The 18,922-nt window shown below is 38.1% G+C and overlaps 1 protein-coding gene and 1 pseudogene across 3 annotated transcripts in view; both read right to left on the bottom strand.

The window, feature by feature from the left end:
- Window positions 1-1,082: 1,082 nt before the first annotated feature.
- The window catches only part of FBXO9 (F-box protein 9), a 35,876-nt gene continuing 18,036 nt past the window's right edge, over window positions 1,083-18,922 (bottom strand). For all 3 annotated transcript variants that reach the window (NM_033481.3, NM_033480.3, NM_012347.4), the window contains 6 exons: window positions 9,409-9,527; window positions 9,132-9,222; window positions 8,395-8,490; window positions 7,978-8,071; window positions 6,292-6,443; window positions 1,083-4,234 (listed from right to left, as the gene is read on the bottom strand). In NM_033481.3, the coding sequence (NP_258442.2) occupies window positions 4,126-4,234; window positions 6,292-6,443; window positions 7,978-8,071; window positions 8,395-8,490; window positions 9,132-9,222; window positions 9,409-9,527 (661 nt within the window). In that variant the 3' untranslated portion in view covers window positions 1,083-4,125. The remainder of the gene's footprint in view (window positions 4,235-6,291; window positions 6,444-7,977; window positions 8,072-8,394; window positions 8,491-9,131; window positions 9,223-9,408; window positions 9,528-18,922) is intronic.
- On the bottom strand, window positions 10,699-10,995 carry RN7SL244P (RNA, 7SL, cytoplasmic 244, pseudogene; annotated as a pseudogene).

Raw genomic sequence — 18,922 nt, 5'->3', positions numbered from 1 at the left:
ATGGCTGCTATTTACTGAGCACCAACTCAGTCAGGCATTGTCCTATGCAATTAACGTGGAGTGTTATCTGTTACTCCTTTCAACTCTGTGGGTAGGTATTATGATAATATTTCCTCTAATTTATCATGACATGGAGAGTTAACTAACTTGCTCGAACTCAGTCGTGGATCTAGCACTTCAACACACAGCCCATGCTTAATGCCACTTTACCACTTGCCCACCTGCTTTCTATTTTCCAAATTCTAACCTGTCCTGTCTGCTTTCAGCACCTCTCCTGTCCTCCCTGTCTTGAAGGACTTAAGTCTTTTCTTTTTTTTTTTTTTTTTTTGAAAGACAGTGGTCTCCCTATGTTACCCTCAAACTCCCTATGTTGCCCTCACTCAAGTGATCCCCTGGTCTCAGCCTCCCAAAGTGCTGGGATTACAGGCATGAGCCACCACACCCAGCCCTATTTCTTTACTACTATTTTAGTGGAGTTTCAGGAGACAGTGGAGATAAATGTGCAGGTGTTGTTCACTATACATAACCAAAGACTGAAATCACTTTTTGGATGTGGAGGCTATCGTGACTGGTCACAGTGACCAATGGATGGTCACTGTGAAACTGGGATCCCACTGCATCGCCTTGGCTTCTGTTTCTGCTCTGACTGCAATTGGATTCTGTGTGGCCAGAGAAGCCTTGCAAGCCTTAGCCCATACATGTCATGGTTGCCAACTTACCTAGAGCTGTTGCTGACACTCAGCATCCATCACTGGGGAAATGACTGGCCAGGTTTTAAGATCCAGAGCATGAAAGCATCAGATAAAGGAGACAGAACTGGAAGTGTTTCACTGTATGACTGAAAAATCACACATACATGTGAAAGGCCAGGATGATTAAAATCAAAAAGTGAATAATGGATGAGGTGACTACAGGTAATTTACATTTTATTCTGTCTGCTCATCTATTTTCCAGTTTTTCTACAGTGTATACATTATTTACCAAATGTATATTTTAAGATATTTTAAAATGTTCACTCTTTGATTCAGTCATTCTACTTCTTAGAAACATCTTAAAGTAATAATACAAGAAGTATGCAAAGATTTAGCCACAGGAATGTTTATTCCAAAAACGTTTACACTACCATTAAATTAGAAAACCAAAATGCGTAAAGAGGAGTATAAAGTTGGACTCTAAAGTCATTAAAAATATTTAACAAAATGCTTACAGGGCATTCTTATGTGGGGAGAGAAAGCTTACAAAGCATTCTGTACAATATAATCCCATTTTTATAGATGCACAGAATAATCAAAAGATAAATACCATAGGTTGAGAGTGGTTAGTAGAGGGCCTGGGATTGAGGATTCAAGGCTAATGCTTTCCCCTGGGGGCTGGGGGTGTAACTGAAGTCTACACTCCCAGCCCCCATGGGCCCCAAGCACCCTCACCTGGCCCTCTGCTAAGGGGTAGGAAGGGGGCTGGGAGGAAAATGCAAGACAGGAGGAGGCAATTAAACATGATGGTGCTCAGGCCAGATTCCCTCTGAGGATATCTTCTGAACACAGTTCCAGCACGATCTGAAATGTAATTTCTGTAAAATGCTTTCATTGTTTTTAAAAAGTTAATCCAGATACTGCTGTCAGCTTTTCATAGTATTGGTTTCTGTAATGTCCTAATAGAGCAAAGGAAGGACACTCCTGAAGTTAAAAAGTTTCTACGGCAGGATTTGCAAAGACCAGAAGAAAAAGGTTACATAGCAAAAATTTTCTTCTGGTTATCTTTGGGTGTTTTTTTAAATTTTATTTTATCTGTATATTCTAATTTTCTCACAACAAATATATATTGCTTTTGCATTTTACAAATATACAGAAAATGTAATCTGGAAAAAAGTTACTTTTTCCAGTTCTAAGTTAAATAAGTGAAAGTCACTTTACTGCTTACAAAGAAATCTTTAAATTTGAACTTGGTATCCACCATCTGCAACAGATCATTCAATCTAGGGATGTTGCAGAACAACAGGGACTCCTCAAATCTCACTTTCCTTAGGAATATATTTTTCTAGCTATATTTGACTATGTCCTAATCATGTTCTATTTATTTGTATATCAGAAATAACAGTCATATCATGAAGAGCTACCTTATCTTAGGCAAGTTGCTTTTCTCCTTCCTTTCCAACTTGAAAAACACACTTCTCAGATTGCTACAAAAGGCCAACCTCTCTTTTTTTTCTTTTTTGAGACAGGGTCTCGCTTTCTCACCCAGGCTGGAGCACAGTGGTGCAATCTTGGCTCACTGTAGCCTCAGCCTCCTGGCTAAGTGATCCTCCTGCCTTAGCCTCCCAACTAGCTGGGACCACAGGTGTGTACCACCATGCCTATTTTTTTTTTTTTTAATTTTTAGAAGAGATGAGGTCTTGCTATGTTGTCCAGGCTGGTCTAAAACTCCTGACCTCAAGCAATCCTCCTGCCTTGGCCTCCCAAAGTATTGGGATTATAGGTGTGAGTCACCACACCTGGCCAACTCTCTTCCTTCTGTATGCACATTTCACCTTTAACATAACGTGTACTATCATCATTATTTTTTTGAGATAGGGTCTCACTGTGTTGCTCAGGCTGGAGTGGAATGGCACGATCTTGGCTCACTGCAACTTCCACTTCCCAGGCTCAGGCAATTCTCCTGCCCCAGCCTCCCAAGTAGCTGCGACTATAGGTGTGCCCCACTGTACTTGGCTAATTTTTTTTTTTTTTTTTTTTGTAGAGACGGTGTTTTGCCATGTTGCCCAGGCTGGTCTTGGACTCCTGAGCTCAGGTGATCTGCCTGTCTTAGCCTCCCAAAGTGCTGGGATTATAGGCATGAGCCACCACGCCTGGTCTGTATGTGCTTTTTAAAAAGCCTATCCCATACTGAATTGTGGGAACCTATGAAGTGTCTCTTAATGTCAATTAAAAGTAACAGTGGCTGCAGATATTGATTTCTGAAAGTACATGAGAATTTGTCTCTAACTATGGTTGAAACAACAAAACCAAATCTGAATCAGGTAGAGGTCTACCAGACACAAACTCTGAAATTAAACACTAATAGGACTGTTACTGGGCAGGGGGGACTCCTTTGAGTAAAAAGGTAACATACAGTTTTCCTAGGTGGCTGGTGCTCTCCCCCAACTTTCATACTGGAACAAGAGTTAGGCTCAGGTTTACATGATCCTCTACTATTCTTTTGTGAAGAATGACAACTGAGTCAGTTGGTTGAGCTTGAAGTGTTCCAGTCCTAAGGGATTCACTCTCACTTAATGTCATATATTGGTAAGGTGCCTACATGAGGTCAGTGTTTGTGGCTACATATAAAGACCAATGATGAAATGAGGAATTATTTTTTTTTCTTTTAATAAGGGATGGGGTCTTGTTATGTTGCCCATGCTGGACTCAAACTCCCAGACTCAAATTCCTGGGCTTAAGCTATTCTCCTGCATCAGCCTCCCAAATAGCTGGGACTACAGGTGCATGCCACCACACCCAGCTAGAGGCAATGATTCTTAAAGTCTCCGCTGGCTATCTAGGACTCTTATTAAATATCCTGTTACTTTAAAAAGGCCATCCAAATATATTTTCTTGAAAGAAACATTTATTTATGATCTTTATTGGTGAAATAATTTCAAACAAATCCAGAACAGGTTCTCACACTTTGAGCCTTTAGTGCAAAAACATTATGCCATGCGGGAAATAAAATGCTTATCCAGTGGAGCGCTCCCCTGATGCATTGAAATATTAGGATACTCAAGCAGAAGACGACTTATGTGACAGAAATCTGCTCATAAATCTGCTTGAAAAAGGGCATGATAAACCTCATATTAAGGTTTCTCACAACATAAATATGCTTAAGCAACTTAATTCCAACTTAATTTCAAAACACCCCAGGAATCAACTATCCCTTTAAATAAAAAAAATAATCAATTTATATTCTTCTTAAAAGAACTCCAACAATTTAAAATAAGTTCCAATTCCATATATATATATATATATATATATATATATATATATATATATATATATACACACACACGCACACACACACATTTATAACTTAGGTGCTCTTTTGCGCTATATACTTTAATTCATGCAAAAGTGATAGAGGACTGGACTTGAGGCTCTACAGAGGCCTTTCTGAGAAAGCTGTGTAGCTCCTTACTCTGGCGAAGAACAAGGGGGTGTACATCTTGTCAATCTCAAAAGCACTGACTGCAGTCTCACCAGTTGATCTGTAAAAAAAAAGCACAAAATTACTAGTATGAGGAAATTTCAATTCATTTAAAATCCTTGTGTGTTTGGGGAAGGTTATTCTATGCTTTAGCCTTTTTTATTTTTAATTCATCTTAGGAAATTCTATATAATATAGGCATATTGTAGAAAACTCGAAAAATTTAGAAATGTATACAGAAACATCACCACAATTCCAACACTCAGAGCCATATGAAGGATATTTTCTAGTGTTTCTTGAGATCAAACTTAGTAATTCTTTTTATTTCATTTAATTATTTGTATTTTCCCACATCATTATTTTTCAGAAACCATTTTTAGTGGCAGGATGATATTTCACTGTCTGCTTGTACCACAGTTTACTTAATTGGAGATTTAGGTTGTGTCTACTATTTCTCAATTAAAAATTATGTGATTTTGATGTCCTTCAGAGATTCCTAAGATAGAATTTTTAAGTCAGAAGCTATAGACATTAGGTTCTTCTTAAAATGTTTCAGAAATAACTATATTCCTAGAATATAATTTGATTATTTAATAATTGCATGATCAACAGCATAATTATAGGCAGGGGGGAGGGAAAGTAGGTGGTAAGTTATGCTACCACTGAGAGAGACAAACGAAAGCAGAGAATTCAAGTGATTTTATAAATATTACAAGGAAGTCAATGTGATAATTAGCAGCTACAAATAATGCCTCTGGTAATGTCCTTTTTTCTCCTAAATAAACAATGTTTTTCTAATGGGTCAAGTATAAACTATAACCATCCATTGTTCATTTGCTTGGCTCTACTTCAGGGTTTGGTTTCTTTTTTTCTTTTTGATACAAGGTCTTGCTCTATCACCGAGGCTGGAGTGCAGTGGTGTGATCATAGCTCACCGCAGCCTTGAACTCCTGGGCTCAAATGATATTCCCACCTCAACCTCCAAATTAGCTGGGACTTCAAGATGCATACCACCATGCCCGGCAAATATTTTTATTTTTTGTAGAGATGGGGTCACCCAGTTTTGCCCAGGCTGGTCTCAAACTCTTGGCCTCAAGTGATCCTCTTGCCTTGGCCCCCCAAAGTCCTGGGATTATAGGCATAAGCCTCCACACCTGCTCAGGTTTCTTTCTTTGAAAAGTAGAAAAAAAAAATCCCACAGCATTAGAGAGAGAAGCAAAAAGGAGATATAGTAGAATTTGTAGGCAAAGATGAGAAAGAAAAACGTTCTGTTGTCAGGACCTTCCAAATGAGCAGGGAAAAGTTATCGGTAAAGTGGAAATGTGACACAGTTTTCAACAATGTGGTTAAGGTTGCAAAGAGGCAATGGAAGCTGACCTCAAAACTTCTCTCTCGGAATTTTAGATTCAAGCAGAACGAAGAGCCTTCAGTCATGTACCAATATTCTTTCAAATTGAACAAGAGCTAACCTTAATTGCCACAGGACTTGATATTTCACTTCCCTGGTTCCTTTTTAAGTTTTATATATTTCTGTATGGCTCCTTTCTCATACCTCCCCTCTTCAGTTCACTGATTATGATGTACAGGTAAATGCTACTGCATAGAACAAAGAGTTTTAAATAGGAATCACCTAACAAATTTGGCTTTGGAATACCTCTTATTTTTTTAGTAGACTTACTTTCCTAACTACAATTTTATTAAATCAGTGTATAATCCCTGAGGATAAAACAAATGGAAATAAAGCAAAAAATGGTAACTGTGGGAAAAGAAAAATGATCTGGTATTTTAAAATGGCTTTAAGTCATACATGGACAGCTCACAGCTGACTAAGTACCATTCTTCCCATGGAATGCTACTTTCATTTCCAAAGTGGTGGTGGTACCAATTCACATTCCAATGGGTACTATATGAGTGTTCCAGATGCTCTGCTTCCTCAAGCATGCTTAGTCTTTTTCGTTTGGGCCATTTTCTTGGTTTGTAGTAGTTTGTAGTAGTACTGGTTTTAGTTTGTAATGTAGTGTTAACTCTGAGAAATTAGAAACATATCTGAAATTCTTAAGCTGGATACGAAGTATACATTTATAGTGTAACCTTGTTATTTTTATTGCATTCACCTACTTGTAAGTAATGTGACAAGAATGATGTATCCAGATGAGTTTGTTGAACCTCTGGTGACCACTGGAACATAGCTGTAGCCCCACATGAAAACTCTGATCTGCTTCTTGTACAGGGACACGACGAAAATATCTGTATTTATAGTCAAGTGGTTTCTGCAAAAGAAAAGATGCATAAGTTATAATGAAACCTTACCTCACTTCTATGTTTACAGAAATAGTATGCAACAGTGACACTAAAAGTAACATAATATTTGCATGCAGTAAAGAGTCGTTTTGACTATCACAAGAATGTATGAGTGCTTTAAAAACTGTTAAATACTCTAAAAATATCAGATTTTTTTCCCCATCATCATCATCTCAGTTAATCATCATAATAACCTCATGTGTTAAATATGATTGCATTATTTCTATTTACTAGCTTAAAAAATGAAGATCCAGGGAGGTAAAACTACTATGTAACCAACATTACATAGATGGGATGTAAAATTATTATCTCCTATCTCTAAGCCTAGTATTTCCTTCTACTGGAAAACACTTGGACATTTTTTAAGAGGGAAAGTGATAAATTGGTGAAGGATGCTGAAAAAGCACAGAGTATAACTTATCTTTTGCAATAACAGTAAAATAAATGAGCAAACAGCTGTGACAAGGTTCATTAGAATTACACTTCTGCAAATACTGCTGCTAAAAACAAAAAAATGTAAACACTATGAATATTTCATCATATTCTGAAGAGAAAATTGACATTCTACATGGGAGTTCCTAAACTCTTTTAATTAGATAAAACCTGAGCAACTAAGGCCTTCCAAATTCCCAATTTTGACCTCAGGAAACCTGCAGTCACAGTCAAAGCAACTCTCTCTGTCTCTCAGGCTGCTGCTGCCCAGGCTCCAGGAGCCCATCAGAGGGAAGTGGAGACGCCAGCAACAGGTGGCCACAAGGTGATAGGACTCGCAGATGAAACTCTGCCCTGTCTGGACATATGATGTTAGAGAAGGGGGAATTTCATACAAGAGAAATATCCTTCAAAAGCTGTATTAATTATAAAGGCAACAAGTAAATATTAATATTTATTCCAAATACCATACAACTGGCTTCTTGGGTACATATAACAATTTTTAACCAGGATTGAAAACGTGCATATGGAGAAAGGTGAAAAAATTAGGCTACCAATCTGTTAGGACAATTTAAAGCACTCTAGAATGTAATAATGTCAGTAATCATATTTGCTTGGCATTTTTTTCCTTTTTTAAGAACAGGAAGAAGAAAATTATCTGAAGTTAGGTTATTTCCAGTAGAAACTGAAGTTCTAACAATATCCTTATGGAAAGAATTATCTATATGAGCTAATTTAGGAAAAAAAATCCCCTGTGATTCGACATGAGCAGAGCCAAAAACATATTCAGGTATAATTTTACTAGTTATTTCACAAGAGATTTCAGCTTTACATTTTCATATATAAAAAACAAACTATCTGGTAAAAAACAAAAAAGCTGATCCAATAAAAAATAACAACATTTTAGAAAACTCTCCAGCTTTCTTCAGTGATTGCTAGAAGTTAATATACATTTTATATAACAGTATAAATAATCAGAAAGGGTTTTTTTTGTTGTTGTTCTAATCGAGACTGCTTGGATGAATAGGCTATTAAGATAAGAAAACTATTAATTACACCTCGTATACTCACTTCTTCTTTTTTCTTAGTTATTACAGCAAATACTTTGGTCTGATTGTCTGTGTCTTGTGACAAGCGATAGTGACCCAGTAGAATTGCATCAGTCCTTAAAAAAAAAAAACAAATTGAATCTAAATCAGTTATTAAGTGGATTTAAGTAATCTAAGAAGTAACAAATTACAACAGTGTTTACTCTTGCTTGAAAAGAATCAGCTAGGATTGAGTAAAACTCAATTCCAAGGCTCCAAAGACCTGCTGAAGTAGATTTTCTAAGGAAAAGCCCAGAAATTGGTATTTTTCCTAAGACCCTGAATGATTGCTTTTAAAATCATCCAGTATTAAGTGAAAGAAGCACTGGATTACTTTAACCTGCAAGGAACCATATAAAACATAGACTGGATGGAAAGCCATTTAAAAAACAAATGCTACCTGGTATTCCTAGTTCTTAAACGTGGAACAATGGACTGAGGCTCTTCAGGGGTTGTCAACATCATCACATGGCCATCAGGAAAGAATCTTATGTACCTATGTAATAAGAAAAGGAAGACCAAAACACACCCCCCACACAAAGTATAAAATATGTCCTTATCTATTAGTACCTATGCCTATTCATAGCTATGAAACCAACACTGAAATACCACGGGCTAAAGAACTGCTAAAACATTAAAACAAATATTACTGACTACCTGTTAGTCCAGCAACAAAGAACCAAAGATATTTTATCTTCCTCAGGGGAAACTGTTGAACTTTTAAGTTTTACTCACTGAATAAAAGTCAAATATTGTTTTATTAAAGTTCTGTGTTTTTCCCAAAGCAACAATTTCAAACAAAGTGAGAGCCACACACAACGGTTAACATGTCTATTTTTTTCTAAATGACAATAATATTTGGCAAGCAATAAGGTGGAATAAAAGCACAAGCTATTTGAAAAGGCAAGTAAATACACCCAGGGCAAAAGACAAGAAGAAATCTAAAAGAGGCCAGAAGAAATTCTGTAATTTATATTAGCCTATTTTTTTTTTTAGTGCAATTCCTACATTGAGTACTAGATAAAAATACTGAGGGCCATTTTGCGGGTCAATCAAAAGCAACAAAGAACAGATGTCCATTTAACTAATACATGGAGAGAGAGAATTTTCCACTCACTCAGTGTACTACAGTTGTACCTGTAATATTCCACTTGGTGCCAGGCTCTATAGAAACCATCAAGAGACTGTTCCCCTTGACGAATATATGTGGTTTTACTGATATACACGCCTATGAAAATAATTTTAAAAAGTTAAAAATTATAATATTCAGATATTCCCAGCATTATATTTACTGTGGTTTCCTTTAAACATGCTTACAGTACTCACATTCATCACAGAAAATTTAAACGGCGTATTTATAAAAATCAGCATTATAGATCAGTATTTCTGCTGAGTTCTACAGAATCCAACTTACCATCAAACCGAACACGAGGCCGTTCTAAAAACATCTCTCTCCAGGACGTGTACGGAACAAGTTTAATACAGCTTCTGCCCCAAACTTTCAAGCAGGCCAGACGCCATATTTCAGGGTCTCTAGGGAATAAAAGCACAATGTCAATAAAAACTAAGTCCCTATACATAGACATAAATATTTTTGCTATCAGCCATCTTTTATTTAGCAAGTATTTGTTGAACACCTGGGAGGCACTGTTCTGAGGAGAAACTAATGGACAAGGCAAAGGCCCTGCTCTTTTACTGTGGGAAAGCAAATTGAGAGGAAAGCTTCTGGTAGTACGCTTAGTGCAAAAATCAACCAACAGACAAAGTAGAGTCAGCAGACAGAAATGATGGTGGTGAGGAAATAGGGAGGCCAGGAAATGCCTCTCTGGGAAGGTGATCATAGTGATGGGGATAAGTATCTCAGGCAGCAACCAGAGCATGTGCAAGGCCCTCAGGCAGAAGTGTGACTGGTGGGCTCATCCAAGAGCCAGCAGGAGCACACAGCTGTGGCAAAGTGGGCATTGTGCAGAGGAAACTATGATGAGGCAGTCGGGGCAGGTGAGGTGGCATCTTGTAGGAAGGAGTGGTTATTTACATGAGATGGATGCCACTGGAGGGTTTTGAACATAATTTATGCTTTTATTTTAAAAGATCACTCTGGTGGTTTATGGAGAATATGGTCTAGTGGTATAAGAGTGGAAACAGGAAGACCAGGTAGGATGCCACTATGTAACCCAAACCAAACAGAACAGTGGCTGAGTCAGAAGGGTTGTTGCAGAAGTGGTAAAATGGTCAGACTGGAGATAAATTTTGAAGGGAGCACCAACAGGACTTTGTTTAAAAAATTAGTGCAGGGGCTGGGCATGGTGGCTCACGCCTGTAATCCCAGCACTTTGGGAGGCCAAGGCAGGCAGATCACGAGGTCAGGAGGTCGAGACCAGCCTGGCCAACATAGTGAAACCCTGTCTCTACTAAAAATACAAAAATTAGCTGTGCATGGTGGTGGGTGCCTATAGTCCCAGCTACTCAGGAGGCCGAGGCAGGAGAATTGCTTGAACCTGGGAGACGGAGGTTGCGGCGAGCCAAGACTGTGCCACTGCACTCCAGCCTAGGGGACAGGGCGAGACTCCGTCTCAAAAAAAAAAAAGTGTGCAAAAAGCTAAGTAAAAGATGTACTAAAAATTGACATGATTCTGCTATAACTAAAAGTATTTCTAACTCCATCTCTAACTTAAAATATTCAGGGTTTGTTTTTCTTAAAGTGATGAGGTCTCACTATGTTGTCCACGCTGGAGTGCAGAGACTATTCACAGGTATGATCCCACTACTGATCAGCATGGGAGTTTTGACCTGCTCCATTTCTAACCTGGGCTAGTTCACCCCTCCCTGGGTAACCTGGTGGCTCCCAGCTCCTTGGAGTTTACTACACTGATGCTGAACTTAATGTGGACACCCAGTCAGCATAGTGCACTAGAGCCCAGAACTCCTAGGCTCAAATAATCTTCCTGCCTTAACCTTTTGAACAGCTAGGACTACAGGCATGTGCACCACCACACCCAGCTAAGTATTCAGTTTTAAAGATGTAAAAACTAGCCTGGGCAATATAGCAAGACCCTGTCTCTTAAAAAAATTTTTTTTAATTAACTAGGCAAAAATACAAAATGAAAAAAAAAATTAACCAGGCATGGTGACACATGCCTGTAGTTCCAGTTACTCAGGAGGCTGAGGCAAGAGGGTGGCTTGAGGCCAGGAGTTTGAGGCTGCAGTGAGCCATGATGGTGTCAGTGCACTCCAGCCTGGGCGACAGAACAAGACCTTGTCTTGTTCATTCATTCATAAATAAGTAAATGAAGCAAAAACTATTTAGATCGGTGTCAGATTGAAAAAGATAAGTCCCCTCAAACTTATGTTAAAATGTATATTTAAAATGTTTGCTTTTAAAGTTACTTTTATGATGACACATGAAGTTTTATTCCTGAATATTTGCTTAACCAATTCTTTCTTTCTTTGTTTTTGTTTTTAAGCTAGGCAAATTAAGCAGTGGGAGTGGGGAAGGAACAAAGAAATCTGTAACTGGTTGTGATCAATTAGATGTAAACGACCACTGCACTCAGACCAGCCCAATTCCTTCTTTATAGTATTTTCTCACATACAATTACAAGTTAATGGAATAACTATGAAAGTTGTCAAAATCAAAATTAAATCATGAATGTGAAGAAAATCCTGACAGAGCTGGGAAAGGCCATGAAAATAAGGTTCTCATGCTTGTATGCCTGATAACAAAAAAGACTACAAAAAACACAACCCTGCACAAAGGCCATTAAACCTTATACAAAAAATACTTCTACAAGGACATCTGCCCAGCAAACTGCCTGTGCAAACTTGAACTGGCATTACCCTTGTTAATGATCTTTGTAGCCAAGGATAATTATTTCCAAAACAATTATGTAATCCTCATTTTTTCCTTTAAAAACCTGCCTGCCTTTACCTCCCTGAATAAGCACATGGTTTACTATGGCATGTGTATTCCCATTGTGATGCTCTAATCCCAAATAACTTTTGGGCATTTGTTATTTAGGTTGAAATACAGAAGTGTCAGAAGCGGGATCTGAAAAGATCATTAACTGAAGGAATCAGAGATTCTTGGAACCAGTGTGCAGTACTTACTTGAGTGCTCTGAGCACTCTACTTCCACGGCTTGCCTTTTCTGCCCTGGTGAATCTTCTTTCAGGCTGAGCCTCCTTCCTTTTGGTAGAGGCTTCTTGATATCATTTGGGATCTGGTTTGGATAAGGTCACCTTAATAAAGGACCATACATCCCTTTTGAGATGATAAACTTTTTGTCTTTCCTGGTAAGTCCTTTCTGGTGTAAAGAAAAGTGTCTTTTTAGATTGGGTATTCTTGGTTTCTACAGCATTTACATTCTGTTCACGTCTTCTGGTGAATTTACTTTTGATTTGGTCTGTGCATTCAGTTTAATATTTTGTTTGATCTGCATGCCTGGGATAAAATATTTGTGAATGTTCTTATTTTGGTTTTTGATTTGGTTTGACTCTTTTCCCTTGCTTCTTCTGAAAATCTTCCATAAGCAAAAATAAAGATTCTGAATGGTGGGCAGAAGATGGCTAATTAAAAACCACTAGGGCTGGCCGGGCACGGTGGCTCACGTCTGTAATCCCAGCACTTTGGGAGGCCGAGGCAGGCGGATCACGAGGTCAGGAGATCGAGACCATCCTGGCTAACATGGTGAAACCCCATCTCTACTAAAAAATACAAAAAATTAGCCGGGCCTGGTGGCGGGCGCCTGTAGTCCCAGCTACTGGGGAGGCTGAGGCAGGAGAATGGTGTGAACCCGGGAGGCAGAGCTTGCAGTGAGCCAAGATGGCACCACTGCACCTGCAGCCTGGGCGGCAGAGCGACACTCCGCCTGGAAAAAAAAAAACAAAAACAAACAAAAAAAAACCCCACTAGGGCTACAGAGGCTGAGGCAGGAGAATGGTGTGAACCCAGAGGCGGAGCTTGCAGTGAGCCGAGATTGCGCCACTGCACTCCAGCCTGGGCGACAGAGCGAGACTCTGTCTCAAAAAAAAAAAAACAAAGAAAGAAAGAAAAAAACCACTAGGGCCAGGTGCGGTGGCTCACGCCTGTAATTCCTGCACTTTAGGAGACTGAGGTGGGCGGATCACCTGCGGTTGGGAGTTAGAGGCCAGGCCAGCCAAAATGGTGAAACCCCGTCTCTACTAGAAATACAAAAATTAGCCAGGCGGTGGTGGTGCATGCCTGTAATCTCGGCTACTCGGGAGACTGAGGCAGGAGAATCGCCTGAACCCGCAAGGCGGAGGTTGCAATTAGCCAAGATCGTGCCACTGTACTGCAGCCTGGGCGACAGAGTGAGACTGTCCTCAAAAGGAAAAAAAAAAAAAAAGACAAACCACTAGGTCAGTCACCACCACCTAAAACACAGGTCTAAACTCCTGACTTTCTCTGACAGGATTTGCAGAATTTTCTTTCCTCTGGAGAGAGTAGTAAGAAACAGAATGGGATTCTCAAATGTTAAAACATGCCAGGTTTTCTGGGATTCCAGCTGACTACATCTTATAGCCTATTGTTGTGCACATTTTTAAACTGATGGGCAAAATTACATCAAGAAAAATTTACAGCTCAAATTATCATCATTCAAAAACCTGCAACTATAGAATATATATAGTCTAAGTTCTCTATTTTTTTTCTTCACACTTTGAATCTGCTGACTTTTCCATTCATGTTGAGATAAAACTCACTGCTTATGACATGTGAACCAAGATTAAATAATGAAGAATTTTGTGTAATTTGGAAGTTATTTAAAGTTTATTTCAAAATATGGCATAAGAAACAAATCAGTAAGTAGGAGACAGAGATGTGAAGAAAGTTACAAGGATATATTTTTGGTTAAAAAAAGATGAAAAAGAGAATAATTTTGTATAAAAAAGAATCTTGTATGGTAGATTTTTGTCCTAAAGTAAAATGACTGGTTAAGAAAGAGGAAGGTATACAACAGAGCAGAAAGTCCAAGCATGTCATCAATATAAGTTGTGATAAGGTTCATAAAAGATTTTGTGTGTGGTCAAGTTGGCTATAATTGAAGAGAATTGTTTATAAGTCTTTCTAAAGATTGAGCTTTGCTATAAGAAATACACTAATACAAAACTAAAAAACTTGGTCCTCTGTTAGAACAATGAAGTTTTCTTAAAGTATTAATTTGCTCTTAGTATTAATAAAACTATAAGAGGTTTTGATTTTAAATTCTAAAATCTGTTGAACAGCCATCTGCAAAACTACAGTTTCTATTTCTTCCTGGGATCTAATTAATTTCCCTAGTTCCAGGTTGGAAATGCTGTCTTTTTCACTCAGAATGGTAATTTCACTTCTCAAGGTAAAATTTTTCTTTCTGAAGCTTCTCAGATTTATATCAGAAGTTCAACTTTTGCTGTACCACTCCTGCACATGATTTGCAGGTCATACACCATTGCCTTCTGTTCTCTCTCCCCTTGAAAGAGTGTATCTTTTTGCTTGGCTAGGGTGATAACTCTCTCTTTCAACCTTTTTGTCAACTCCTCTTAATTTTTTCCCTCCAGTTCTAGCTCTGCTGTTAATAGCCTGACACTGAAATGTTTATCTCTTTTTTTTTTTTTTTTTTTTTTGAGATAGGATCTTACTCTGTCATCTTGGCTGGAGTGCAGTGGCATGATCACGGTTTATTATGGCCTTGAACTCCTGGGCTCGGGTGATCCTCCTGCCTCAGCCTCCTGAGTAGCTGGGACCACAGGTACACACACTACGTCCAACTAATTTTTCTATTTTATCATAGAGACGGGGTTTCGTCATGTTGCTCAGGCTGGTCTCGAACTCCTGGGTCCAACCCATCAATCCACATCAGCCTCCCAAAGTGCTAGGATTATAGGTGTGAGGCACTGCACCTGTGTTTGTTGTTGTTGTTGTTGTTGTTTTTGAGACAGGGTCTCATTCCATCACTCAGGCTGGTGTGGCATGATCATAGCTCACTGCAGCCAGGCTTCAGCCATCTTCCTGCCTTAGCCTCCCAAGTAGCTAGGCGTGCACCACCACACCCAGCTAATTTTTTTGCTTTTTTAGTAGAGATGTTGTCCAGGCTGGTCTTGAACTCCTGACCTCAAGCAATCCTCCTACCTTGGCCTCCCAAAATGCTGGGATTACAGGCATGAGTGACCATGTCCGGCCTGAAATGTTTAGTTTAAAGGTCTAGAAGAGCAATGTTTTCCTCCAATATAACTTGATTCTGTACTCTTGGCTTTATGTGACATCTGAATTACTCCATGTAACCAGGAAACTTCCTATGCTATTTAAGAGCCATGTATTCTCCTGCTCAAGTTACTAGTTTTCTTGTTTATATTCCTCTCTAATGTAGACATATAACCCTGGATACTTCCTGTCCCTAAGTAAATTCAAGTACCCTTTTAATCAGGTTTAACTTACAAGTTATCTAAACAGGTTTCCCACATGGAGAAGCAAATACCCTATAAAAGGTATTTCTTTATCTTTTTGGCAACTGGCCTAAAAAAAAAATTTATTGTTTTATCAATATAACGCCTGTGCTTTATTAGGTTTTTGGTTACTTACGAAAACTGAGCTTTAAAAGGATTAAGGCTTTTACATCCATGTAACTTTCTGCATTGCTTTTAAGATCTTTTGATTATCAGTATGGTTAAATAAGTAACTTCACAGTGGCCAGCAATTTTGTTTTGATCAAATGTTTTGAACCTTTGACATCTCTGGCAGGTTTCCCCAGAGTCAAGATCCTAAATTAAGGCTTTCCAATCTAAAATTAACTTTGAGATTTTCTTTTTCTTTTTTTTTGAGATGTAGTTTCACTCTTGTTGCTCAGGCTGGAGCGCAATGGTGCGATCTTAGCTCACCGCAACCTCCGCCTACCGGGTTCAAGCGATTCTCCTGCCTCAGCCTCCCAAGTATCTGGGATTATAGGCATGAGCCACCACGCCCGGCTAATTTTGTATTTTTAGTAGCGACGGGGTTTCTCCATGTTGGTCAGGCTGCTCTCGAACTCCTGGCCTCAGGTAATCCACCCGCCTCATCCTCCCAAAGTGCTGGGATTACAGGCGTGAGCCACCACACCCAGCCAACTTTGGGATTTTCTAGTTGGGCTCCTGGAAAGCCTCAAAGAACGTATCTCTCATCCTGTAGATATATCAAATGATTAACCTCACTTGGTAAACTGTATGGGAGGCACTGTTAAATAATAAGTATTAGATCCTCTTTCAGTTACATTTATGGGTATATTATTGATATAAATGTTCCAAAACTATGTAAACTCATAAAAATCTAGTATGCTATTAGTTATAAATTTCTATTATGTCAAATATTTTCTAAAGTTATATTTGTATAGATGTTATTAATGTGAGTATTCTAAAGACTAGATGAAATTTATATAAAAGTCTGATAGTCCTGATGTGACAGTGTCAGTCATGATTCTGGTTATCTTAAAATGCTACATGTACTAGAAATAACTAAATTCCCTCATCAACTGAGAACTTTCATCAGATTTTACATGGCTATTCTAAGTTTTTGTCATCACAATTATTATTTTGAATTCTCTAAAAACATTTGCAATCAGCTACAGTCCAAAACTGCTGTTTATGGAAAAGACTCTAGCAGTACTCTTGAACAAAGATTTTTGCTAACTTTAAGATCAATGGACTAAATAAAAATTTCCAGAACTCTAATAAATTCATGGGTTCATTGAACTGCTAATAAAGATCAAGCATAATAAAAAATTACATAAAATTGATGTAAATGATGAAGAGAATGTCTTTATGACGTTAGAAGACTTTTGTGAACCAAGGTGGAACCATTTGCTTTTTCTCCCTACTTGATTTCTCCAAAATTCAGAAACTATTCATATTATTTTTATTTATATAAGTTCAATAAAAATCTAATCCCTTTATATGAGGATACAATTAGAAACATTAGTTATATTACCAAGGCTTTGACTGAAAATGTCATATTTAAGAATGTGCATAAAACATCCGGCTTTAAGAGTTCTCAGCCTTATCGTGAGTAAAACCTGTCACTTCCTAGCAGGCCCAAGAACCTTAAGACCCTAAGTGAAGCCTAAAGTCTACCTCTCTTTGACTTCCTAGCCTCAAGAGATTTTTAAATCTGAAATTCCTATATGATCAATGTAGGAAAAAAACGTTTCTTAAAAAAAAAACTGCAATACACCTGTTGTTATCCACACGTACACCGGACTGTTTGATGAATTCTCCTAGTTTCCTCCAGGATTGGACTACAACACGCCAACTAAAAACAAAAGCTTCTGTTCGTAAAGCCCTTTAAGCTGAAACTATTCAAATTTTAAGAAACAAGTCTCATGCCTGATATATGAGCCACACAACAATATCATGACCAGAGACATTCAAACATAAATCAGGAGGAGAATCTGATGTTTTTGTGAAAGCTGTAGACAGCTTTTCCCATGACATCAGAACCATATCATAAGACTTTTACCCCCACTTAATGCTACTTTTTTCACTTGACAGGATAATGGTGTAATTGAAATTTCATAATCAATAGCTTCTGCTGGTAACTTAACAGAACCTAACCCAAGAAATCCTTTAGTATTCATTGGTTAAAAAAGAAAATATCTGTGCTATTGCTAGTACTACATGCTGTACCTAGATAAATCCCTCTGATAAAGTTGAGACCCATGTACACAAAATAAGAAAACAGGTAGCATGATTACATGGTCTCACCTAATTCCCTGTGGTCACTGGTCTACTCAATTAGTTGTTCTTAAGCCTAGGTTCATGGCTCAAAACCATTATGCAAATTGGAATTGTCATATTACTATTAACTTTGTTACTTGTTAAATTTCTGCAGAAGTACCACACCTAACAATAACGCTGGCCCAGCATTTTGAGTAACAAAGACTATGGAATAGACAAAAATCAAACTTAATAATGGAATCCAGGTAGACACAGCCTGAGAGTCATTCCCTTCAGACGTCCCTTCTTGCCCAAATGTGGCTTAAAAGCATTTTGACACGGACTCCTAGTTGCTAATCATTCTCCCCAACATGGGATGAGACTAGAAACCAGGACTGGTCTATGCTGGTACTATGGGATGTCAAAACCTAACTACAGGATGACTGATCAGAGAAAGATACTGATCAAAAGGGGAAAATGTGAAAGTTGTTAAAATAAAAATGGAGCCACTAATGTTAAGAAAACCCTGACAAAGAGAGCTGAGGAAGGCCATGAAGAGAAGGTTCTCAGGCTTCTATGACTGGTTAACAAAAAAGACTATAAAAAACACAGCTCTGCACAAAGGCCATCACAGCCTTATACAAAAAATATTTTTGCTGCAAGGACATCTGCCCAAGAAACTGTCTGTCCAATCTCAGACTGGCGTCCCCCTTGTTACTGATCTTTGTAGTCAAGGATTAAGTATTTCAAAACAATTATGTAATCCTCATTTTTTCCTTTAAAAACTTTTGTTTCCCTGAATAGTTTACTATGGCATGTGTATTCCCATTGCAATGTATTATTCTCAAATAAATGTCTTTTAGAGAGTCTATCTGCTTATTATTTAGGTTGACATAACAGTGCTAGAGACTCTAGTGGCAATCCACTAGGTGTTTAATAGGTACTTGTTAAATATACTAGCACACAGAATTGTGAAAAAGAGTCTTCAAGAAATTCAAATATTTTATGAAAACTACAAGATTCCAAATGGAATTAATTTAAAAATAATGCATCTGAATTTTAAGAACAAGTTGTTTTTAAAAATTCTATATAAGGACTAAGTATATAGTTTTAGGTTTTACATTTAAGTCTTTAATCCATCTTGATTTGATTTTTGTGTGTCGTGTAAGGAAAGGATCCAGTTTCCATCTTCTGCACATGGCTAGCCGCTTATCTCAGCACCATTTATTGAATAGAGTCCTTTCCCACACA

Source organism: Homo sapiens, chromosome 6 (assembly GCF_000001405.40).
Source record: "Homo sapiens chromosome 6, GRCh38.p14 Primary Assembly".
Lineage (NCBI taxonomy): Eukaryota > Metazoa > Chordata > Mammalia > Primates > Hominidae > Homo > Homo sapiens.
This window is presented reverse-complemented; position numbering and strand designations above follow the sequence as displayed.